The sequence below is a fragment of the Homo sapiens genome, chromosome 7 (genome assembly GCF_000001405.40).
Source record: "Homo sapiens chromosome 7, GRCh38.p14 Primary Assembly".
In the NCBI taxonomy this organism is placed as follows: Eukaryota; Metazoa; Chordata; class Mammalia; order Primates; family Hominidae; genus Homo; species Homo sapiens.
The window spans coordinates 127,532,893-127,559,140 of record NC_000007.14 but is presented as its reverse complement, the minus strand read 5'-3'; the positions used below and the strand labels follow the sequence as shown (position 1 = coordinate 127,559,140).

Here is a 26,248-nt window from a genome sequence, read left to right as displayed (position 1 = left end):
TAATACACATTAGATAACATAATACAATTAACTATGTCGGTGAACTGTCACCTAACCCCCACCTCCACCCCTGACTCCCCCATCTCACCGTCTCTCTAAGAAGTAGGTTTCACACTTTCAAAATGAAATGGGAAAAACTTTATTAGTATATGTATTAATTTTCTATTGCTGCCATAACAAATTATCACAAACAGTGGTTTTAAAACAAGATAAATTTATTATCTTACAGTTCTGGAGGAAAGAAGCACGAAAGGGGTCTGATTGGGCTAAAATCAAGGTGTTGACAGGGCTGTATTCCATTCTGGAGGCCCCTTGCCTTTTCCAGCATCCAGAGACCACCTGCATTTCTTTCCTCATGGTTCCCTTTCTCCATCTTCAAAGCCAGCCATGTGACATTGCTCTGTGCCTTTCTTCTGTAGTCACATCTTCCCCTCTATTCTGCCTCTCTCTTCCAGTCTTAAGGACCCTTGTGATTACATTAGTGTATTAGTCTGTTTGCATGCTCCTAATAAAGACATACTTGAGACTGGGCAATTTATAAAGGAAAGAGGTTTAATGGACTCACAGTTCTACATGGCTGGGGAGGCCTCACAATCATGGAGAAAGGCAAAGGAGAAGCAAAGGTACCTCTTACTTGGCAGCAGACAAGAGGGCTTGTGCAGTGAAACTTCCATTCATAAAACCATCAGATCTCATGAGACTTACTCACTATCACGAGAACAGTATTGGAAAGACTTTCCCCCATGATTCAATTACTTCCCATTGGGTCTCTCCCATGACATACGTGGGAATTATGGGAGCTACAATTCATGCTGAGATTTGGGTGGGGACATAGCCAAACCATATCAATTAGGCTCACCCAGATCATCCAGCATAATCTCCCTATTTTAAAATCAGCCAATTAGCAACTTTAATTCCCCTTTGCCCAGTAACCTAACATAGTCATAGGTTCTTGGGATTAGGACATGGACATCTATAGCGGGCCATTAGTTTAACTACCCCAATATATATTTTGTGCACTTTCTATCTGGAAAGAACTTTGGCAAAAGCACAATGGAAAGCCAAAATTCTTCCTAATTTGCTTCAGGTACTGCTGAATAAATCCTAACAATATCCTTTTCATGGGTAACCAGCAACACCTAGTGTCTCTCCAAATAAATTTCAACAGCAAGTTTATTTACAGTGTCCTATAATTAAGCTCAGTGACTGATGGTGGAGAAAGGAAATTCTCACTATTCAAAGAGAGAGAAGGCTAGCAATTCTCTTTTCTGTATGTCTTTTTGATTTATTTTGAGCCCCCACATCCGTGCATCTATCCAGAAGCATTGAAATTAATTCTGTTTGGGGCATGGCACCATACTGGGCTCTGTGGAAGATGTGGAAAGATAAAAATGTAATCCCTGTCCTCAAATTGCTTCCAGTCTTATTGGGCAGATGAGACACACTCTAGTGATTAAAGCATATGTACTCATTTACAAAGCACTGAATACTTAAGGGCACTGAATACTTAAGTGTGCTAGTTATAATTAGGTTCAGTTGTACATACAGCAACTATACAACAGCAAAACCCCAAAGAATAGTGAATTAAACAGCAGAAAAATTTATTTCTTGCTCTTGTGAAAGAACTGGTGCAGCTACTTTGGAAAACAGTTTGGCAGTTCCTCAAAAAGTTAAATATAGAGTTACTATGTGACCCAGCAATTCTACTCCTAGGTATATATCCAAGAGAATTGAAAATGTATGTCCACACAAAAACTTGTACATGAATGTTCATAGTAGAATTATTCATAAAATCCAAAAAGTAGAAACAACCCAAATGCCCATCAACTGATCAATGGATAAGCAAAATGTGGTATATCCATACAATAAAATATTATTCAACCATAAAAAGTAATAAAGTATTGATACATGGTACAACATGGATGAAAGTTGAAAACACTATACTAAGTGAAAAAAGTCAGTCATTAAAGGCCACATATTATATGATTCAATTTGTATGAAATGTCCAGAATAGGCAAAACCATAGAGATAGAAAGCAGATTAATGGATACTAGGGCCTGGGAATTGGGGAAGGGAGAATTGGGAATAACTGCTAATGGGTACAGGGTTTATTTTGGGGGTGATGACAAAGTTCTGATATTAGATGGTGGTTGTTGTTAGTCTGTTCTCACGTTGCTAATAAAGACATACCCAAGACTGGGTAATTTATAAAGAAAAAGAGGTTTAATGGACTCACAGTTCTACATGGCTGGGGAGGCCTCACAATCATGGTGGAAGGCAAAGGAGGAGCAAAAGCACATCTTACATGGTGGCAGGCCAGAGAGCATGTGGAGGGAAACTCCCCTTTATAAAATCATCAGATCTCAAGAAACTTATTCACTATCATGAGAACAGCATGGGAAAGACCCGTCCCCATGATTCAGTTACCTCCCACTGAATTCCTCCCATGACACATGGGAAATATGGGAGCTACAATTCAAGATGAGATTTGGGTGGGGACACAGTCAAACCATATCAGTGGTGATGATTGCACAACTTTGTAGATGTAATAGGAACCCTAAATATCTACAATTAAATGGTTTTTAATTTAATTGTACACTTTAAATGGGTGAATTGTTTTGTATGTGAATTATATCTCCATGAAATTACTAAAAAATACCAAAAGGATCAGGGAGACAAAAATAGTGATAAGTAATTAGAGGACATGAAGGAGAGATTAGAAAAGTGTCTCCGATTAGTTTTTTGCTCCTTGGGTTCTTTCTTCAGATCTCAGAGTGGTCCCTTTTTTTCCCATGTATTTCTTTCCCTCTCCTACACCCCTACTACAATCAGCAGAATGTTTACTATGTGAAACTGACTCTGACCCCAGACAAGGAGAGAGTTGGCAGTTCTATTCCTTATGCAGAGAAAATGGAGAATGTGCTGATGAAAATAGAGAATGGAATAGGATTCATGCCCCTTACTCTTAAGGGCGTTCCCACATGAGAGGCATCTCTGGACCTGGGGAGCAAATGCCCTTGGGATGCCAGGCCCCGTGAGCTTGCCACACAGTTTACGCATCTGTTTGGAGGGTGAGGAATCTTGGGGCGGGGAATGCTCAAAGCTAACTGTGTTCCTAATCTCCACAGTGGAGAGCTAGTAGTGTCTGTCCTTGTTCCCTGGCTGGCCTGCACCCAGGGCCCTCCAACTGTCTGCCTTCTCTCTGTCCCCTTTGATAGAGCAGTTCCTCATTAACACATATTCTGATGTCTCCTTCCCAGCCGTGTGGCTTTTTCTTGATATGTTTCCTGTTTCTCATCTTGTGCTGTAGAAACCAAAGTACTATTTCTTACAGGACAAGATACGACTCTTAACACCATTGTAAAATTTATTTCACTAGTTCTAGGAGGCCTTTAGAAACTGTAGTTTGGATCAGGCTCCATGCATCACCCTGAGTGACTTATTTTCCTCTATGACCTTCCTCCCTGTGCTCATGGGTTCCTGGGGTCTAGGTGGTGTGGAGATGCATGGAGGTTGAGTCTGAGATGGCAGAGACATTGTAAAAGATAGTGTCCCAACTGTTCCAGCTAAGAGAGGCCCAAGGAGACGTGATGACTAAACGTATTATAGTATCAGAGGACAGAAAAAGGACATTGGGTAAAAACTAATGATATTTCAGGGCTGGATATTTATATGAGTAAAGTATGGACTTCAATTAATAATAATGTTATCAACATTAGTTGTGACAATGTGCTATACTATTGTAAGACGTTCATCATGAGGAAAGCTGGGCTTGGGTATATGGGCACTGTGTGCATTGTCTTTGAGTTTTTCCTGTAAATCTAAAATTATTCTAAAATATAAAATAAGAACTTCATTAACTCCCTTGTCCTCAACAAAAAGAATGTCCTCACCCATATCGTAGCATTCATCTCTGCCCTGGCTGGACTGTTTAAAAGATGAGTGTCATTCAATATAACTTTCTTGACGGGTGATAATCAGACATCACTTGTATCGTCAGTGCTTTCTGGAGAGATTATATTTATCTGTCCAGAAAGAATAGAGTTTTAAAGTCCTGGGTGGGTGGCTAGAAAGATGGAAGTGATGGAGCAGAAGTGCACATTCTGGTTCTAGAGTGAGTGAAGCCCTTAAGGACACTGAATGGCAATGAGTGAGCCTGCAGTCAACCTGGCCCACGTCCACATAGCTGTTAGGGAATGATTGATCCATGAAGACATCATCTCAGAAAGTCGAGGTAAGTTTTGCATCCAGAACACACAGCCAAATGTTAGGAACTGAAGGTGTACCCACACTACTGTCAAATATGAGAGTTAGTCTGAAAATGAGCAGGAGCTAAGGCTATACAAGCCAGAGCAACTGAGTCAATCAGGAGTGAATTCTGGGGCCCTGAGTCCCAGGACTGTGATTCTGAGCACAATGGGTAGCACACTTCCCATGACACACTGTTAAAGACAGGCAGCCAGGCCGAACAAGATGCTTCTGGAACTATTCCCTGGCCTAACAGGGGGCATTGATGAGAAAAAAGAGGGATTGAAGAGGTGGAAGGAGATGACTTGGCAGCCAGTCCTACTCTTCAAGCTGTGACTGGTTTTCCCAGGAGGTGCTTACACATTCAGTCTAGTAGGTTGAATCGTGTCCCCCAACATTCGTGTCTACCAAGACCTCAGAATGTGACCTTTTTTGGAATTAGGGTCTTGCAGATATAATTAGTTAAGATGAGGTCATACTGGATCAGAATGGACCTTAATCCAATGACTGCTGTCCTTATAAGAGGAGAGGACATGGACATTGACAGGGAAGAAAGCCATGTGAAGACAGAGGTAGACGTTGGAGTGATGCAGAGGTTAGAGTTATGCAGCTATGAGTCAAGGAACATCAAGGATAGCTGGGAGCTACCAGTGCTAGGAAGAAGCCTCCCTATGCCTTTAGAGGGAGCATGGCTCTGCCAACTTCTTGATCTTGGATTTCTAACCTCCAGAATTTTGTGAGAATGAATTTCTGTTGTTTTAAGACACCTATTTCTGGTACTTTGTTGTGGCAGCCCTGGGAAACTAATACATTTGATGAGGACAATGCTGGAAGGGTATGGGGTACTTAGCTATATATGTCCTTTTGAGAGCCAGGGGTTATGGGCATTCCCATTCCCTGGAAGATCTAAGGCCTAGAGCTTGTGCCTCATACTTGTGGGTGCTGATATGGTCCAAAAATCAATGAGTAATTAGTATAGGTAATAAAATAGGTTACTCCTTCCTTCCTTCCACTTCCTACAGTGAAGGCTCTCCCAAGGGGAATTTCTTTGTGAAACCCTTGTGCTGTTATCTGAAGGAACTAAAAGGTATAGATTCCTCCAGCAAAGACTGCCTCATGGTTCCATGGTTTGTGTCCACTTTTTCTTCTCTAGAGTTACCTCTCCTGCACCTCCACACAGAAGCACCTCTCCTTCAGATTCTTGACCCATTGGATCCCCATGGCCTCTGACACTATTAACAAGTCCTTCTGGAAACTTTTCTTATAGGCAGCAATACCTTTTTCTTCTTTCTCCTGTAACTTCTCCTCTTATGTGTATGACTTAATTGCCTCTTCTTCCTCGACCTTGCTAAGAAACGTGTGTTTGCCTGAGTTCTGTCTTTGGTCTTCTTTTGACAGCTCTCTTGGGTAAGCGTCCATTGTCCTTGCTTTAATTGCCATCCACCACATGACTCCCAAATCTCTGCTCCAGTTCAGATCTTTTAAGCTTCATTTTCATGGAGTCAATGCAATGTCTCCATCTAGGAGTGCCAGGCACTTCAGACTCAGTGTGTTCCAAGCCATTTACCAATTTTACTCTTCCCTTGGCTGGAATTATAGACTCCCCTCTTTCAGAATGAATTCATGCACAGTTTTTAATTAAGATTAAAAAGATGGATATTGGGCAGTTTTGGAGAAAGTAAAAAAGAACAAAACCCCCAAACCACACAAAGAATTATGGTTGGTGGCAGTGCAGGAATTACCCAATTAATAGACTATCAAAGCTTATCTGTACAAACTTTCTTTTTTTTAATTTTTATCATTATACTTCAAGTTCTAGGGTACCTGTGCACAACGTGCAGGTTTGTTACATATGTATACATGTGCCATGTTGGTGTGCTGCACCCGTTAACTCGTCATTTACATTAGGTATATCTCCTAATGCTATCCCTCCCCCCTCCCGCCATCCCACAGCAGGCCCCAGTGTGTGACGTTCCCCACCATGTGTCCAAATGTTCTCATTGTTCAATTCCTACCTATGAGTGAGAACCTGTGGTGTTTGGTTTTCTGTCCTTGCGATAGTTTGCTGAGAATGATGGTTTCCAGCTTCATCCATGTCCCTAAAAAGGACATGAACTCATCCTTTTTTATGGCTGCATAGTATTCCATGGTGTGTATGTGCCACATTTTCTTAATCCAGTCTATCATTGATGGACATTTGGGTTGGTTCCAAGTCTTTGTTATTGTGAATAGTGCCACAATAAACATACGTGTGCATGTGTCTTTATAGCAGCATGATTTATAATCCTTTGGGTATATGCCCAGTAATGGGATAGCTAGGTCAAATGGTATTTCTAGTTCTAGGTCCTTGAGGAATCGCCACACTGTCTTCCACAATGGTTGATCTAGTTTTCTGTATAGACTTTCGATATGATACAAGGGGATTTTAGGACACAAAATATACACAGTTGAGGAAATTGAGGTCAAAGTGTAACACATTTCACAGCTCCTTCCAGATCCTTTCATCACTCTCCTTTTTGATTCTCAGACCTGAAGTAGGAGCCACTCTTTTTGGCCACCTTGTTTCACCCTCAGGCCAGGCTGAGCCCTTTGAAGTCCTCTGATGAAAAAGCAGTCTTTTCCTGTCCCCTCCTCAACCGTGCAGCTAGGTTCTGCCCGTCCTGTCTGTAATGACACATTCCTAGCCTTGCTTTTGGTACATACCAGCAGGTGGATGAACCTAGAACATCTTATCTGATCCATTATCCTGAGTCCTGTGCCTCAAGGCCACCACATTTCTCTCTCCACCCTCTTGCATCAGAGTCCAGACCAGCAAACACATTCAGGAAATCATAAGAAAGATAAAAAGCCTACAATGCTCCAAGGACGAGTTTTTCTTTTTTCTGTTTTTTTGAGATGGAGTCTTGCTCTGTCACCCAGGCTGGATGGAGTGCAGTGGTATGATCTCGGGTCACTGCAAGCTCCGCCTCCTGGGTTCACACCATTCTCCTGCCTCAGCCCCCCGAGTAGCTGGGACTACAGGCGCCCGCCACCACACCCGGCTAATTTTTTGTATTTTTAGTAGAGATGGGGTTTCACCGTGTTAGCCAGGATGATCTTGATCTCCTGACCTCGTGATCCACCCGCCTTGGCCTCCCAAAGTGCTGGGATTACAGGCATGAGCCACCGCGCCCAGCCCAGTTGTTCTTTTTTAGAGTGTTTATGGATCCAGAATTGAGCTGGAGAGTTGAGTGGTGGGATCATTAGGGAAGCAAGAGCCTAGGAGAGCCAGAGTGACAAGATTTTAAGTTCAGGGTCATCTTGAAACTAGCAAGACACATTCCTTGCCAGTCATCACCAATGGTCCTAAGATGTTTATAGTTGAGAAAACCTACAAGGACACATTCCTACAACAGAAAGTCCAGATGTCCTAATACCCATAACAATATATGCTTTCAAGATAATTATATTTATGCTTTGATGTACTCACCCAGTGAAATGTCAAAGATAGTTTTCTTTAAATCAGTGTAATAATACATTTTGTTATGCTCTCTGCTCACCTGCATGTAGTCACAGCTTAGTTTAGTCTGTACATAGACAAGACCCCCATATAAGAAAAACTTAAAACAGAGATGATGTGTTCCTTGGCCTGCTTTCTGGAGATGCCCTACTCTGCAATGGAGTAGTTTCTAATAAATTTGCTTCTTTCACTGTGCTCTGAAACTCGCCTTGAATTTCTTCCTGTGTGAGATCCAAGAACCCTCTCTTAGAGTCTGGATCAAGACCCCTTTTTCCTGTAACTGGATGGAAACCCACATAATACAATTTATTTCCATATATGGTGTAAAGTTATCTAATTCCAGCATTTCATTGCTAAATATGTTGAGGTTCTGACATTAGAGGCTCAGGAATGTACTGATGAAGATAGTCAGATGGATAACACTGGCTATTTCCCCTGGTATATTAAGCACAGTTTGTTTCTGAGGTATCCAGTAATGATTTGAAGTGTGCCCATGAGCAGCTTTGGGCTCAATTCTGGCATTCATGTCTTAATTAGGTGGGTTTTGACTCATCATGATTTAGTTACCCATTTTTCTTTAACAGAGCGCCTTATTTATTTTATGCAATTAGAAGGGAAATGACAGAGAAGACCATTAACTCTACCTTACTGTACAAATCCCAGAAGTAATTAGGGACTTACATAAACAGTGCATCTTAAATTATTTATTTGACAATCTCTAATAACAATGCCAGCAGTGTCATATACTTTATTCTTCATTAAAGCAAAAGTGATTATCCTGCTATATAACCTAATCATCTGAAAAATTTAATTCCCATAACAACATTTGTTATTACTGTTTTGTTTTGTAGAAGGGCAGATGAAAGACAGAATTTTGACACATCAAATTGGACTGCAGCACAAAAGCCAAAATAAGTGTTTCTTCCACTAGAGGGCTGGTGCTTGGTCTGTTTTGGAAAGTCCTTCCCCCGGATGGTAGCAGGTGATGGAGTTGGGCAGAATCTAATTTTCAGCAAGTTTTAATTTTTTCACTGCCTGGATGAATTCTAGAAATAAATGTTGCATAAGCTAATTTTGGTGGGGTTGGAGGGTGGTCCTAGAAAGATGATTGATTTGATAAGATAATTTGAGGGGATTTTTAAACTTCCATTGAGCAAACAATTCAACATTTACTGGAACCCTCAGATCTGTGAGGATGTGGGATAGATGACAGATACCAAGTTAATAAGACATTGTTTCTGGCCTCAATGAGCCTGGGCTACTAGTCATCAATGTTTCCAGTTCTCCTTGGGCACTTGGTCACCTGCCTGAAGTTAGGCATGGTTATATCTTTTGCTTTGACTTATAGGAACTGTTATGGACTGAATGTTTGTGTTTCCCCACCTTAAATTCATACGTTGAAATCCTAACACTCAATATGATGGTATGAGGAGGTAGAGCCTTTAGGAGGTAATTAGGTCATGAGGGTGGAGCCTTCATGAATGGGAGTAGTGCCCTTATAAGAAGAGTCACAAGACATCTGGCTTCTTCAACCCCCCCACCTTTTTCCCTGCTGTGTGGGGATACAACAAGAAGTCAGCCATCTCTAAACCAGGAAGAGAGCCCTCACCAGACATTAGATCTGCTGGCACCTTGATCTTGGTCTTCTAGCTTCCAGAATTGTGAGCAATACTTGTTTGTTGTTTAAGCCACCTAGGCTATGGTATTCTGTTATTGCAGCCTAAACTAAGACAGGGACCCTGGGGAAGATTCCCCTTCCTTCTTATCTCTCTCCTAACAAGTAACCAGTGAGTTTTCTTTTTACTGCATCAAATCTAGCCCATCCTACTTATCACAGAAAGTAAGATAGACTTCCCATCAAACCTGGTGATGGACAATCAGTGATGGACAGATGCAAAGCACAATGATCAGCATGTAACAGGTCTCAGCAAAGGGTATTTTTCTTCCCACTTTCATTTAAAAAAACTAATGAATTTTTAAAAAAGCTGAATCTGTGTGTATTTTTCCTACAGCAATGTCTAGAAATGTTTACACGAGAGAGTTCTTCATTTTAGGATTGGGTAACAGCCAGTATAATTTTACAATTACAATATGTGATAGAGTCTGCTAATTATTTCCCAGTATTTATTCACCTCTTCTCCCTTAGCAATAGCATCTCAGGATTTAAGTGGGCATACTGCTGCCTCAAGCCAGAAGGCATTTGCCATGCTCCTTTGCATTACCAAGTGACTACTAGACAATGAGATATTGCAACAAAGTGTTGTATGGGATTTCTGTGAAGCCTCTTTTTAAGGGAGGGGGTACCTCTGTTTTTTCTTTTGCTCTCTTCTCTTGCCTGGGATGTAGATGCAGTGGCTGAAGCTCTAGTAGCTGTTTTGGACCATGAGGATGAGGGCCCCATATGAGGGATGGTGGAGAGTCAGCTGGAAGGTTCCTGGGTCCTTGGTCACTTAGTGGAGTGCCTTACAAGTCATGGACTGTCTACTTGTGGATTTCTTTGATGTAAGATAAATAAATTTCTAATTTGTTTCAGCCACTGTTTTTTAATTAAAATTTTTAATTTTATTAAATTTATTTTTTGTAGTAAAAATAATATAAAATTTACCATCTTAACCATTTTAAGTATACAGTTCAGCAGTGTTAACTATATTCATATAAGCTACTGTAGTTTTTTTAATTATATGGAACCAAAACTAATGCTAACTAAAACACAGTGGTTTTTTTTTTTTTAACTGATCTTCAATAAACTAGTTAAATTAACAGACTCTCCATCTCCTTAGTAAAGTGTGCTAATCATGGCCATCACATGCATACTCCCAGCTATTAAACTGTTCTCTAGGACAGTGGATCTCGATTTACATGTGCATCAGAATTACCTCGAGATTTTCTGATTCTGTGAGTCTGGAGTGGGGCCTGAGAACTTGACATTTCTGATAAGTTCTCAGGACTTTGATGCTGCTGGTCTGGGGACATACTTGGGGAACTACTGATCTAGGACACCATAGCCTTTGGTTTTTATCAGCAGAGCTGAATGTTAATAGGAAGCAATTGTATTTGTTCTTACACTGATTATGTGTATTGTATTTCTGATTGTCATTGTGTAATTTAACTAAATACTACATTCATCTATGAGAATTTAGTTGAAAAAATATTTGTTTCTATGAAAACTAAATCAAATACTTTGTAACAACTTAATGTAGGTATTCATTAAAATAAAGCTACCAAGTGAGATTGGTAGGGCCACTGTTAAATATCAGAATAAATATCTATCTATCTATCTAGATATATCTATATATCTATATCTAAAGCAATTATACACTCAAGTTGCTTTAAAAAGAGACTTTAATTTATTGTTTTACTTTAAATAAATTAAGTCTATAAATTGTAAATGATGTGTTAATGCTGGAATGAGTTAAAACTTTGGTGGACTGTTGAGAAGGCATGATTGATTTTTGAAATGTGAAATGGAGATGAGATTTGGGAGGGGCCAGGGGCAGAATGATATGATTTAGTCAATAAAGACAATATAGAACTTTAATCAGTGGATCCAATCTTTAAAAAAACCCCTTTGGAAAGTTGGCAAATGAGTGCATACTTAAACATTTTAAATTAACATTCTAAGTTAAAATAAAATGTTTAAATTAAAATATGCCTGGTGTGTTCTTTGCTTCCTTACTTTTTCAGTTAACTGATTGCTTAGCCTGGGTTACTATAATAAAAATGCAGAGCATATGAAAATGGCTTATGTGCTATTACTTTAATGAGGAATGCTATTTAAACAGAATGAAGAAAAGGGGAGGGAGAGCTAACATGAGAATGCTGAATTGCTCTGGACTGCACTTAGATTCACATGACTGATTTACTGATCTTGTACAACTGTTTCTGATGTGGTTTGGCTCTGTCTCCCCAGCCAAATCTCATCTTGAATGTAATCTGAATTATAATCCCCAGGTGTAGAGGGAGGAACCTGGTGGGAGGTGATGGGATCATGAGGGTGGTTTTCCCCATACTGTTCTCATAACAGTGAGTTCTCATGAGATCTGATGGTTTTATAAGTGTTTGGAAGTTCCTCCTTCATTGCTGTCTCTCCTGCCCCCTTGTGAAGAAGGTGCCTGCTTCCCCTTCTGCCATGATTGTAAGTTTCCTGAGGCCTCCCCAGCCATGTGGAATTGTGAGTCAATTAAACCTCTTTCCTTTATAAATCACCCAGTCTCAGGGAAGTTCTTTATAGCAGTGTGAAAACAGACTAATACAGTAAATTGGTATGTCAGAGAGTGGGGTACTGCTATAAAGATACTTGAAAATGTGGAAGAGACTTTGGACTGGGTAACAGGCAGATGCTGGAACAGCTTGGAGGGCTTAGAAGAAGACGGGAAAATGTGGGAGAGTTTGGAGCTTCCTAGAGACTTGTTGATCATTTTGACCAAAATGCTGATAGTATATGGACAATGAAGTCCAGGCTGAGATGGTCTCAGATGGAGATGAGGAACTTCTTGGGAGCTAGAGCAAAGGTCAGTCTTGCTATGCTTTCACAAAGAGACTGGTGGCATTTTGCCCTTGCCCTAGAGATCTGTGGAACTTTGAACTTGAGAGAGATGATCTGAAACTGGAGCTTATATTTAAAAGGGAAGCAGAGCATAAAAGTTTGGAAAATTTTCAGCCTGATGATACAATAGAAAAGAAAAACCCATTTTCTGGGGAGAAATTCAAGCTGGCTGCGTAAATTTGTATAAGTAAGAAGGAAACAAATGTTAATAACCAAGATAATGGGGAAAATTTCTCCAGGGCATGTCAAAAATCTTGGCAGCAGCCCCTCCCATCACAGACCCAGAGGCCTAGGAGGAAAAAATGGTTTCATGGGCTAGGCCCAGGGCCCTGCCACTGTGTGTATCTTCAGTACTTGGTGCCCTGTGTTCCAGATGCTCCAGCTCCAGATGTGGTTAAAAGGGGCCAAGATACAGCTCAGGCCATTGCATCAGAAGGTGCAAGCCCCAAGCCATGGTGGCTTCCATGTGGCATTGGGCCTACAGGTGCACAGAAGTCAAGAATTGAGGATTGGAAATCTCTACCTAGATTTCAGAGGATGTATGGAAATGCCTGGATGTCCAGGAAGTCTGCTTCAGGGGCAGAGCCATCATGAAGAACCTCTGCTAGGGCATTGTTGAAGGAAAATGTGGGTTTGAAGCCCCACACTGAGTCCCCACTGGGGCACTGCCTAGTGGAGCTGTGAGAAGAGGGCCACCATCCTCAGATCCCAGAATGGTAGATCCATGGACAGCTTGCACCATGCACCTGGAAAAGCTGCAGGCACTCGATGCCATCCTGTGAGAACAGCTGCAGGAGCTGAACCCTGAAAAGTCACAGGAAGCAACAGGGGTGGAGCTGTCCAAGGCTGTGGGAATCCACCCTTTGAATCAGCATGTCCTGGATGTGAGATATGGAGTCAAAGGAGATTATTTTGGAGCTTTAAGATTTAATGACTGCCCCACTGATTTTGTACTCGCATGGGGCCTGTAGCCCCTTTGTTTTGGCCAATTTCTCCCACTTAGAATGGGAGCATTTATCCAATTCCTGTACCCCCATTGTATCTTGGAAGTAACTAACTTGCTTTTGATTTTACAGGCTCATAGGTCGAAGGGACTTGCCTTGTCTCAGATGAGACTTTGGACTTGGAGTTTTGGGTTAATGCTGGAATGAGTTATAACTTTGGAGGACTGTTGGGAAGGCATGATTGATTTTTGAAATGTGAAATGGAGGTGAGATTTGGGAGGGGACAGGGGCAGAATGAGATGGTTTGGCTCTGTGTCCCCACCCAAATCTCATCTTGAATTGTAATCCAAATTGTAATCTCCAGGTGTAGAGAGAGGGAACTGGTGGGAGGTAATTGGATCATGGAGGCAGTTTTCCCCATACTGTTCTTGTGATAGTGAGTTCTTACAAGATCTGATGGTTTTATAAGTGTTTGGAAGTTCCTCCTTTGTTGCTGTCCTTCCTGCTGCCCTGTGAAGAAGGTGCCTGCTTCCCCTTCCACCATGATTGTAAGTTTCCTGAGGCCTTTTCATCTATGTGGAAATTTAAGTCAATTAAACCTCTTTCCTTTATAAATTACTGAGTCTAAAGGAAGTTCTTTACAGCAGTGTGAAAATGGACTAATACAGTTTCCAAGAGGCTACGTAAATGAGTGCTTCTTAGGATGGTACATACAGTAAGAACAAAGAAGCATTTACTTGCAGACATCCATCTCCCGTTGGTTAAAAGTTTGCTCCATGGGGCATTAATTCCCTTACACTCACAGTTGGGCATGCATGAGGACCAGTGCCAGCTTCATGGGTGCTGGCCTGTGCAGTCATATGGGGCCCTGGGATCAGAAGAGGTCCCACTCTTGGGGTTTAATGCTTTGCAGTCACTGTTTTGAAATTCTTAATAATTTTATCTCTGAATTTGTGTTTTGTAAGTGAAGTCTGAGGGAGAAGAAAGTATGCGCTGGTGGGTTGGAGCCTGGGCTCACAGGTATTCCTGTCTCCCCCGCTTCTCCCTGCCTTTCAGGAGGGTGTGTTCTCAGCAGCCTGCTCCCTTACTCCTACTGCGTCAGCCCTCTTCCTCTGTGGGGATGAGGACTCCAGCATTGGGAGGGCTGTGTTGTGTATGCTCAGTCATGGGGAGGGTTCCTTGACTCCTGGGAGTGTTTGCACTCATCCTGTGCTCCAGAGAGTGCAACACTAAATAGAAAATAAAATAGACCACGAGAGGTCAAGAGAGACACTGTGGAAGAAAGGCAAAAACTTTTTCCTGCTTTTTGAACAAATGACTTCACATTTTTAGTTTGTACTAGGACCTGAAAGTCATGCAGCTGGCTCTAATGGGCACTAAGTGGGTCTGTTTGTATCATATCTTGGTGTCAATAGGAATGCACTGAGGCAAGTGGTAGGAGTGTGCAGCACAGGCATGGGGCAAGATATTACCAGGTTTTCTTTGACTGAAGTCGGTCAGAGGCCACACAGAGGTCATTACAGTTGCAGCTATGTCTGAAACAAGCGGCCAAAGGCCCAGGGGTGAGGGAAGGCCAAGATCTGAACTGGCACATAAGAGATACTGATAAAATTCTCCCCTTGCATCACTCAAATCAGCTCTGCCCCCCCCCCATTATATCTGGCTTTCACACTATAATATGTGGCCTTTATTTTTGTGATGTGAAGATGTCTTTATGTCTTCCCTGAGAAATGAGGTACAAGGTCAATAATTCAGAGTCATCTTCAAAAGTGTGGCCAGCTGCAGTTTCTGAAAAGATTTTTAGTGAGAGAGCAAAATGAACTACAGCCCCATCATCTCTCTCCTCTACCACTTATTCCAGATTTCCCTCTTCCTTGGCTAATACTTTGACCAGTCTGAGTTTCTTTGCTGGTGGAGTGACCCAGACCATCCTTGAGGGGCTTCATCCTTAGTTGCCTTAGCTTGGTCAGGCACTGGTTGTTCAATGGTCTATTTACTGATATCACTGGACATGGAAGCACCAGAAAATGCCCCAGTGAGTCCCCTGGGGTTTCTGACATACTCCTTCTTGATCCCATTGTGTAGCATCACCTAGCTTTTCATGATAATTAGAAATAAACTCATGCATCTGCCTGTTGATCTACTGGAAGAGATGAAAATGAGCAAGGAGGAGTTGAGGCTTCAAGGCAGTAGAAATCTTACTCTGTTCCCTGATGGAAGTATCCCCACCCAGGACGAGGCCCCCTAGTGCAAGCAGAGCCTAAAGCTTAGGGAATGGGAAGCAAACATTATGTGAATCACTGGGAATTATGATGAAAAGGGTTAATCCTTCTTCTACCCACTGGTTCTTGGACTTGGATATTCTAGTTATTGGAGACACAGAACCATGTACTATGCTTGCTGGTTCAATGCCTAGATCACAAAGCACAGTAAGTTTGCAGAGTGTTATTCTAGCACATTAGATGAGTCCTAACAGGTTATTACACTGTCTTATTAGCCTGGATGTTTCAGGGCGATGAAGTGTGTGGTAAGACAGTGGAGCTCATGGTCAAATGTCCATTGTCACCTTCCTTTGATGTAAAATGGGTCCCTTGCACCAGGCAATATTATGTGTGATACAATGTCAACAGAATAGGCACATGTAAACCTTGGATGGCTTGGATGGTGGAGGCATTATGTAGAGGAAAGGCAAACCCAATCTAAAGCAGGTATCAAACCTGAAAAGATCTCTTTTTTTTTTTTTGAGACGGCGTCTTGCTCTGTCGTCCAGGCTGGAGTGCAATGGTGTGATCTCGGCTCACTGCAGCCTCCACCTCCCGGATTCAAGCGATTCTCCTGCCTCAGCCTCCTGAGTACCTGGGACTACAGGCACCTGCCACCATGCCCAGCTAATTTTTATACTTTTAATAGAGATGGGGTTTCACCATGTTGGCCAGGATGGTCTCGATCTCTTGACCTCATGATCCTCCCACCTCAGCCTCCCAAAGTGCTGGGATTACAGGTGTGAGCCACCGCGCCCAGCCTCTATCTGAGGCAGAAGGTGATGTAAGTATAATTCCTTGAGGAGTGGTGCCATATCAATATCTCAGGGTCAGTCTCTGCTATTGGAAGGTTGGACACTCAGCAGTGGTATTAGCTATGCTGACCTTAGTGAGGAGCAATTTATGCTATTGGGTGCATCCTTGGCATGGCAACATGGATGGAGGCTATGTATGAGCCAAATGGCATGGGTCTATTGCACCAGCACTGTGGTGACCAAAAATGTTCATAAGACAAGTCACCCTGTTCATCCAGATGGTGAGAGCCTTGTCTAGGAGGGATGCTCTCTGGTGGGACACAAAGATCTAGGCACTTAGTACCTATATCCATATGTCCAGCCACATGCCTCTTCCCCAGACCTCCTTATTTCCAACTTTCTAATCTTGTTTTTTTCAGGACCCTGACCAAATAATTAAACCATTTTTTTTTTTGCCACTTCCTAGGAATCAATATATATCTTTACTTCAGACCATTCCATATAGAGTGAATCATCAAGTATACTGCTTACAGCTATGCCTACAGGTAGAATTTTCCTTGTCACTGTCCTTTAGGCCTGCTCCTGGATAATGCGGCTGCAGCATAGTTTATTTTATTTTACCACCAATGTATTGTATTGACCCATCTATTATATGAATCATGGCTCTTTCCTTCCTCTGTTAATTGGTATTAAGAAATCCTTTACAAGGCTGTGAGAGTGAGTTGAGGAAGAGGTGTTAGTGCAATGGAGTTAGGTGAATGGGAATCTGGGTTACCTATTCATGTGATTTATTCATTACTTCTGGACTTGCTCAGGTCCAATCCTGAATATACCATTTTCATCGTACAGTGAATTGCTGCTGTGCTTGCCTGAACTCATGATTCTGTGAGTCTGCTCATATCTGGCTTGATGGGCAATTTCAGTTGCATAGTCATTTGGTGCCCCAAGGTCACGTGCTCAGTCTCTACTAGGTCTCAGTGGTATACCAGCGGCTGTTTTACAAATGGAAAATAGCTCTTGGCCACAGAAGCTGTAGCCTTGCTTTAGAACCCTAGCTAACCCTCCTATTGAGGATTTCCAGATGCTTCATGAATTATTCTTATCCACCACAGATACCAGATATTTCCAGCACCAGCAGATCTGCTAAGTGATAAGGTGGCAGAGCAGCTTGCACCCCTGAGTGGATTGCTGCCTTTTGAATGCAATCGCGGGGAGAAGGGTGAGGGAAAAGTGGGAGTGAGGAGGGAGAAGAGAATGAGAAAAGACAAATATGTTATTATTCAACTGGTCACCACTTGTATTTGAGAATGACAGACTTCTCAATCTTGTGGGATCATTTTTTTTTTTTCAGGGCAGTACATATGGAGGTAGAAGGGAGAAGAATTTATTTGTCAGCTGCCATCATACCTCAAAGATGCACACCACAGGGCATGAATTTCCTTGTACTTCCCAAATGTAACTAGGTGGGGGCTGAGCAGGGCTACCTTAGCAGGAGGTCTTTGGTATATTAATAGGGAGGATCCCTGGAAAACTTGGATGTTGGATGTGACAGATGTGGGATAAGGGCACAAAGGTAAGTGCTGTTGGGTTGGCAGCTGGGTACAAAGCAAGTGACCAAACTCCCTGGATTCAAGTGAGACTGACAGCCCTGAAGTAGCACAGAAGAGATGTCTGGCTTATCAATCAACTACAGGTCCTAGGTGAATTGGATCAGAGGGTTTCTGTGGCATTTATCTTCAAGATGAAGTGTCTTAATTAGAATTGACTGTGAGAATCATTCACCCTATCCTAATGATGCACAAATCTCATCTGCAACCCTGACTTGTCCCTGAAACTCCAAACTCATGTGTCCAACTGCCTACTTAATCTCTCTCCATGGACATTTAATAGGACATCTCAAACTTAACATGGCCATAATGGAACTCATTATTCCTCCCATTGCATCAGGCTTGCTTCTTCCCCATTGAGTTGCTCAATTCCAACATCTACAAGTTAACACTTGTTCTTCCCTTTCCCTTGGTATCCTCCCTCCCCCCACTCACTTACCCCCATTACTCCAGTAACAACTCTTCCAAGATATATCTTGACTCCGTTTGCTTTTCTCCATCTTTATGACTGCTTCCCAGACAAAGCCACATTCCTTTACTTGTACTATTGCAGTAACTTCCCAATACTTCTCCTTCCCTCTACACTTGCTCTGCCTAGAATCCATTCTTCACATAGCAGCAGGAGTAATGTTCTAAAAATGTGAAGTAGGCCGGGCGCGGTGGCTTCTGCCTGTAATCCCAGCACTTTGGGAGGCTGAGGTGGGTGGATCACGAGGTCAGGAGATCGTGACCATCCTGGCTAACACGGTGAAACCCTGTTTCCACTAAAAATACAAAAAAAAAAAATTAGCCGGGTGTGGTGGCGGGCGCCTGTAGTCCCAGCTACTCGGGAGGCTGAGGCAGGAGAATGGCGTGAACCTGGGAGGCGGAGCTTGCAGTGAGCCGAGATGGCGCCACTGCACTCCAGCCTGGGCGACAGAGCCAGACTCTGTCTCAAAAACAAACAAACAAACAAACAAATAAAAAACAACTGAAGTAGATTATGTCACTGTCCTGCTTAAAACTCTCTAATATACTCCGTCCTGTAGTTAGCAGAAAATTGAGTGATGGACAGGGTCTGATTCCTGCTTTCCTCTCTAGCCACACTGGATTTCTGTCTTTTTGTTTGTTTGTTTGTTTGTTTGTTTGTTTTAGGACTTTGTGAAGTGGCGTCATTGTCTGGGGTAAATACGTAAATACCCGGAGTTTGTCATCTTGTGCCAAGAAGATTAAGGACACGGACACACAGAAGGAGTGAATTTAGGAGCAGAGGTTTAATAGGCAAAGAAAGAGAAGGGAGAACAGCTCTCTCTCTTGCAAGAGAGAGGAGTGCCCGAAAGGGAAATCTGGCCCGAGGCAGTTGCGCACCAGATTTTATAGGCAGGCTTGAGGAGACGGTGTCTGATTTATGTCGGGCCCACAGATTGGTTGGACCAGGTGTGATGTTTACATAGCATGAAGGAAGGCTGGCCATCCCACCCTAATCTTATTATGCAAATGGACTTTCCACTTGGTCAGTGCCATCTTATCTGCTCCTTACTGTACATGTGGCTGGCAAAGAGAAGGGAACATGGAGCTGCCATTTTGAAGATGCCTAGTCCCAGGTGGCCTTTTCCTGTTGGCACAAATGCCGGCATTCATCCATGCAGGCTTCCAGCTTGCTTGTCTATGTCTGCAGTTCAATTTTACAGGCTGCTCTTTGTTAGAAAAGACAGTGATTTTGGGGCTGCTTTTTGTTAAAAGGAAAACCTTACCGAGGACTCCTATACCCTCACTATCTGCCCAAATAATTTCCTTTTAAATCTTATATCATTTGCACTAGCTGTTCCCTCTGCCCAGAATGCTCTTCTCCCCGATGTGTGCATGACTGGTTCTTGTGATGCGTAGCTTAGCCTAAAGGTCATCTCAAAGAGTCCATCCGGTATCTATCACATCTCCCTATCTCTAATTTTATCTTTGCTTGTTTATTTTCTTTGCCTCGCCCCCATTACAGCGTGAGCTCCGTGATAGCAGAGAACTTGTCATTCTTTTTTGCTCTTGTATTTACTTACCTATAAATATAAGAAGAGTGCTTGGCACAAACTAGGCACTCAATAATAAATATTTATTGGCAGGGCGTGGTAACTTACGCCACCCAGCACTTTGGGAGGCCAGGGTGGGTGAATCACCTGACATCAGGAGTTCGAGACCAGCCTGGCCGACATGGTGAAACTCCATCTCTACTAAAAATACAAAAATTAGCCAGGCATGGTGGCACGCACCTGTAATCCCAGCTACTCGGGAGCCTGAGACAAGAGGATAGCTTGAACCCAGGAGGCGGAGGTCACAGTGAGCCAAGACTGCACCATTGCACTCCAGCCTGGGTGACAAGAGTGAAACTCCATCTCAAAAATAAATAAATGAATAAATAAATAAATATTTCTTGAATAAGTTCATGGATACTGATACTGGTAATGGAAGTATTTATAACTAAAGACTTCTTTATAAATACAAAATGTCCAAGAGATGTATTTGTCAAATAATTTTTTTTAATGGCATCCTGTTTTCCCATTTGACAGAAGAAGACATAAAGGCTGTTTCCAGAGGACTAACAGTTGGAGGCTGGTGGCCTTGATAGGTAATGCAGGATTTCCTAAGGAGGATTTGGATTTTGGGTCAGTTGGTTCAGTTAGTCGTGACTAACATGGCTGAAGATTTTAAATTGACCACATTCAAGTTAATTCATTTGTGTAGCATAGAGAGGACTGGAGCCTCTAAGAGGCTAAGAGAAAACCTTCAAATCTCCATACTGTGCCAGGAAGGTGCTTCTGTTATGTAGAAAGCACACAAAACAAGAAGCATATTCTAGAACCATTATATTACAATTATATGCACTCTCCAGAGGAATGCCCTCATCATTCTTTGACGTTATGTTTGGGGCTGCCCTTGGAAATCATCTAGTTTAGCTTTCTCATTTTATAGATGAGGAAAGTAAGGACTAGAGAGATAAAGTGACTAGTTCAAGGTCATTCTGTTACTTAGAGGCAGAGCCAGGACTAGAATTCAGAGCTCCTAAGAAGACTTTTACAATATACCATGGCATCCTTTCTCTTATTCTCGCATTCCCATGGGGGGAAAAAAAAACCCGCTTAGATTTGTCTTAAACAATGTTCTTCTGAGTGCTGGTGGAATCACCTTGGTCTCTGAAGCCTGCGTTGGTGGTAATGAGGAAGGCGCTGATCTTCCTTTCTCATTTTGCTTAGAATATTCTTGACTCATCATCAAACAAATATTTATCATCAAAAGGAAGTCATTGTATTTTCATCTAGGGCTCCAGTGAGACTTAAAAAGTCACAGCAAACATTCTCATTCCTACCAGTTAACACTCTATTGAAACTCACTAGAAATAAATTCCTTGGAGTGTATTTTCTCACAGTGACATAGTTTGTCTCCTAAGGAATCAACACATGTGGTTGCCTTTCTACCTTTCCTTGACAGGTTTAGGTTTGCAGAATTTCAGAAAGTTTATACAGCTCTCAAAAAACCAGAACTCTTTTTCTTTGTACTGTATTGCTGTAATTAATAGTTAGGACTATCAGGACTGCAAATAATTTAGAAGATTTGGGGAAAACTGAATATTTTCCATCACTGAAAACAATTCAATTCCATATTCTCTTTCCTGTGTATGTGCTCACCACTGACTTCTTTCCCTGCCTTCCTGACTCCAGGGGTGGAGGTGGGGTAACATTTTCAGTTTGCAGAGTTTTGCATCCATATTTGTTTTCTCTAGATAATTCTCAAGATGGTTAGAAGGATTTGGTGGCTGGGGGTGGTGAACACCTATGTGCAATTTGAATATCTTATTAGCTCTGTCAATTTCTAGCTAAGCATGTGACCAAGAAGTTTGGATCAGGGTATTCAGATTGGAGCCCCTTGTAATAGCACCCTTTCTAAACATTTTGTGTGATGATTAGAGCAGCATCATGGTCTTTTGTTTCCAGAGTGGGTTTGGGGAGCAGCAGACAGCCCAGGATTTTGAGTTCATTTCTTCTGGTGCAAAAGATTGAGCCCAAAAAACTGGCAAAAATCATCCCTGGTTGCTCATTCCTGCAGATGACTTTCATATTTGCTGGAGCTGCCTATTTTCAGTGCTTTCTGGGTCCTGCTCAGTCCCTGAAGAGGCAGTTGCACATCTTGCTGCACATGCCCTGTAGCCCTACCTTTGTGCAGCCGTTCCCTCCTCAGTAAAATGTTCTCAGCACACAAAAGTAGCCGTTGAAGGGTACAGCTTCGGTGCAGCATGCCGGCTGCAGCGCGCCGCTGCACCATCTTCAGTGGTGACAGACGCTGCAAACCCTGCCTAGGAAACTAATGGAGAGTCCCTAAGAAATCCAAACTCCAGCTTGGCTCACCCCAACCTTCTCCCCCACCTTCAGACCCCCAGGTGAGACTAAAACAAACAGCACACCACGCGACCAGCAGACAGCCCGGTCAGCGTTCCTGTAAGAACCTGGGCTTGCAGCAGGCGGATCATCGCGGAATTCGACCTGAATCCTAGCATGTTTTGTTTTGCTGAAAGAAATGGTGTCATCATTGTTTTCCAGCAATTTATTTTCTTGTGGTAACGTAAAACATTTCCTCTGGGATGGGCTGAGAAAAGTCAGATAGACATTTTTACAAGTGTAAAGTACTTTGGCTTGATTCAGAGTGTGAGATTTCAGAAATGCCTCCTACTAACCAGGTTACCCAGGCAGGGCTTCAAGCTGCCCCTGAGAATGGTGGCTGAAAGCCAATGGCTGAAAGCAAATGGGATGCTGCAATTTGTGGGGATCTGTTTCAGCATTTATATTTAAATACATTTCCCTCGAAGAATTCTTAATTGGAGATTTCGCCTTGAGATGCTCAAATAAATCAGGGAGCCAAACCTAGTTATTTCGCTTCGTAACCAAGCTTTATTTCAGGACTTTCTTTCCCCTGCGGTTCTTGCCCCAAAGCGATCTGTAAAGCGAACCCACTCTGATACAGTTTGAAAAGTGCATTTTGTACTTGGCTCTTTCTTTGATCGAATTAATCTGGGCTTTTTTGTAGTTCTAAATGAGGCCTATGGGCTGACAATGTAGCTGTTTAAAGGGGATTTTAGGGGATAATAGTCAATGCAAATAGTGCCATGAGAATGGCAACTTGCTTTTGCACTTTCAATCACATAATAACAGCAAAGAAAGCTTTTAAAATGAATTGAAATTTTGTGGTGTGCCATCTGGGATTATTTGGGGAAACAGTTCTGAATACTGCAGTTGGGCAAAAGAATGGAGGTATGGTCTGCTCTTAAGCTGACATGTTTCAGATGGCAACCTTATGCTAACTGGTGCAAAGTTGGCTAGCATTTTTTTTTTTATTTTCTTTCTCTTGGATTATCTGCAAAAATTCTCTTTGATTGCTGGTATTTGGGTCTGAAAAACTTTTCTATTGTTGAAGAATTCAATTCAACTCCTTGCAGCTGCTGATCCCCTTATTGTTCTACTCGTTATGTGTACGCGTCTCAGATGAATGTAGCCAAGCCTTTTAGTGCCTTAATAGGTGTCTACATAAAGGTCATTTATTCTGTCCTACTTGTTTCAACAAAAGTTTATACACAAACAACAACCACAGCTAAAACATTCACATTAATCAATTTCCTCCTGATGCAGAATGCAAAAACCGCCTCAAGCCATGTCTAGGCAAGAAAAATGTTTTCCGTATATGATGTTGTAAAGCAGCAAATAGTTTAACCAATTTCATCAAGAGCAAAGCATAATTGTTTCAGCACAGTTTCTACCTGAGAGAGCCCATTCTGGTGCTTCTGTGTCTCTGCCACCACACTCAGGTTAGGATTGAGGGCAGAGAGGGACTTAGGATGAAGTTTGTTGAGGTTTTAGCTCTTTCCTCAATGTTTACCCTAGTTTGGGGGCTGTTCTCTATAAACTTGTGGTGGGCATAAGCTATTGTCTCTGCAGGAAGGGATGCATAGATAATACTAGAATCTAGAGAAAATTGCATAAAGGAGTACAATCAGGTATCTAGAATTTGCAAAAAATAAATTATTTCCTTGCAGGTATAAGTGCCCCTGATGTACAAAATGACCACAGCCATCCCTTTTCATCGTCAAACTCCAGCAATGGCTGCTTTTAGAAAGAAGTAAGTGATGAAAATAATAAGCTCCCAATCGTAAACACTGGTGAGGATGCTGACATGCTAACTAAAATGCTGGACGGGACAGAGACAAGCAAAGGTTTCTAAGGGGCCTTGTGCTGTGAGGGGACTGCCCAGCACAGTGGACGTCATGTGGGAATTACAAAACTCTGGCCACGTGGGGGAGGGAGCAAGGAGGCCCACCCACCCTGCCTCCCACAGCAACTCCAGGGAGCTTGCCTCTGCTGCCGGGTAATTCAGAGACACTGCCACATTCTCCAGTCCATCTCAGGATGATACTTAGCCCTGTCATCACCCAAATCCTTCAGGAAATTAAAAACACATGACACGGCATCTGCAGGTTCTTCTTCTCTGCTGCATCCATTTGCTTGCTCATGAATCTTCCAAGCTCAAGGCTTAGACTTGAAAGGTTAAGGATTCAAGTCCTAAGATGCCTCACGGGATTTTGTGAAGGCCAATAATGCTGTGATTTGACCTCTGTGTATGGCTCCACCCCTTTCTCTTTCCCCGACCTCATTGAGGGTCTCTTTCCTTCACAGGCTTGGTTGGGGCGAGGGATGCGGGGTCATTGCTCTTCCAGGACAGCTACCTGATTCTCTCCCATGATCACTTCTCAGTCATTTGGTTTGGATGGGTGCTTCCCAAATTTTAGTGAGCATGTGGATGACTGGGGTTCTTATTAAAATAGATTCTAATTCAGTTGGTCTGGAATGGGGCCTGACAATCTGCATTTCTAGCCAGCTCCCTGGTGAGGCTGATGCCACCAGGGGCTCTGGATTCTAACTCACCTGGAGACGAGGTGCACTCTCACTGTCCCAGAGCCAAATATCCATTTGTAACATGATGGGAATAAAAATGCCCATTGATGCAATGAGGAATTTCTTGACTTTTCAACTCCAGTAGCTTTTCTGGGAGATTAGGAAGGGTGTGGGGACAGTCTAGTTTTAGGTAGGCTTATCTTACAGTTTATCTTGCACCTGATTTGATTCTTCGGTTTCAAGCAGCAGAGACAAAGTAAGTGGTATTTGGTCCCAGTCTTTGATCATTTCTGTATTATTCACTCATTTAAAAAATTACCAAATATATATCAGAGGCCTACTACAGGTGGGCACTGTACCAGGTGCTGTGGGTACAGTGGTAGCAGACAGATCTCATCCCTGCTCCCCCTCGGTTTACACTCCTAGAGCCTGGAGCAGGGAGGCTCAACCCTAGCCACACACTGGAATCACTTGAGGATTTTTTACAATTGATAAATGCCTGGGCCCCACTCCCAGGGAATCAAATTTAATTGGTTGGAGAGGAAGCCCAGTCATGAGCATTTTTGCAGAGCTGCTTAGGGGATTCTGGTGTGCAGCCAGGATAGAGGACCCTGGCTCAAAGGATTGAACTACATGGGGGAGGATGTGGGTGGGAATTGGGAGAAGAGCTGTCCCAGGTCCAGACTCCAGAATGGGGGGCGCAGGATCTAAGGGATGAGCATGTAAGTGAAGCTCTCTGTTTCCCTGCCAGCCCACCTTTCTAGAGCATCAAGCCCATTATAGTAAAGGAGGAAATGGCAAAGTTACCATTGCACATGGCATAACCTTGCAGCGTCACAATGTACTCATGTATAGTGATCTCATGTACTGGTTCTAAGTCACAGTATATGCTGTCTTCCTGTTCCTAAAAGTGAACTAGCCCCTTCACTGTTGCTTTGGTGCAAAAGAGGGGCAGGTTCTAGTTTGGGTGATCATCATGGTTTCTCTGGAACTGAAGGGTTTCCCAGAATGTGAAACTTTCAGTGCTAAAGTCAGGAAAGTCCTGGGGAAACCTGGATGAATAGCTCACCCTACTTCTAGTGTGATGACTGTTACTGTGGGGTTCTAAATTTGACATCAAAAGCATAATTCATAAAAGGGAAAATTGATCAATTGGATCTTAAAAACTTTTGCTTTGAGAAAGTCTATGTCAAGGAGATGAAAAGATAAGCTAGAGACTGGGAGAAAATATTTTCAAACCACATATCTGATAAAGGACCAGTATTTAGAATATATAAAGAATTTTCAAAACATAGCAATAAAAACCAAATAATTCAATTAGAAAATGGGCAAAAGGCAAGAAAAAGTATTCACTGAAGAAACTACACAGATGTCAAATCAGCACATGAGAAGATGTTCAACATAACAAGGCATTAGAGGTATGCAAAGTAAAAACCACAATGAGATATCTCTACATGCCTATCAGAATGGCTAAAATGAAAAA

General features: G+C 42.4%; 1 long non-coding RNA gene across 3 annotated transcripts in view, besides 1 other annotated feature; it reads left to right on the top strand.

Moving 5' to 3' along the window:
* Positions 1 to 26,248, top strand: part of LOC105375490 (uncharacterized) — a 104,836-nt gene that overhangs the window by 30,706 nt on the left and 47,882 nt on the right. The window contains exons 1-3 of one of the 3 annotated variants that reach the window (XR_001745352.2): positions 20,232 to 20,456; positions 22,255 to 22,439; positions 23,910 to 23,992. This is a non-coding gene — a long non-coding RNA (uncharacterized LOC105375490). Of the gene's footprint in view, positions 1 to 20,231; positions 22,440 to 23,909; positions 23,993 to 26,248 lie in introns of those variants that run through there. The other 2 variants (XR_001745351.2, XR_007060511.1) reach the window with 2 other exon arrangements.
* Positions 21,649 to 24,809: an enhancer, noted in NCBI's record as "VISTA enhancer hs1308". NCBI's record gives its function as "enhancer in: midbrain (mesencephalon)[7/7] | forebrain[7/7]" and the evidence as "EXISTENCE:transgenic organism evidence [ECO:0001131][PMID:17130149]".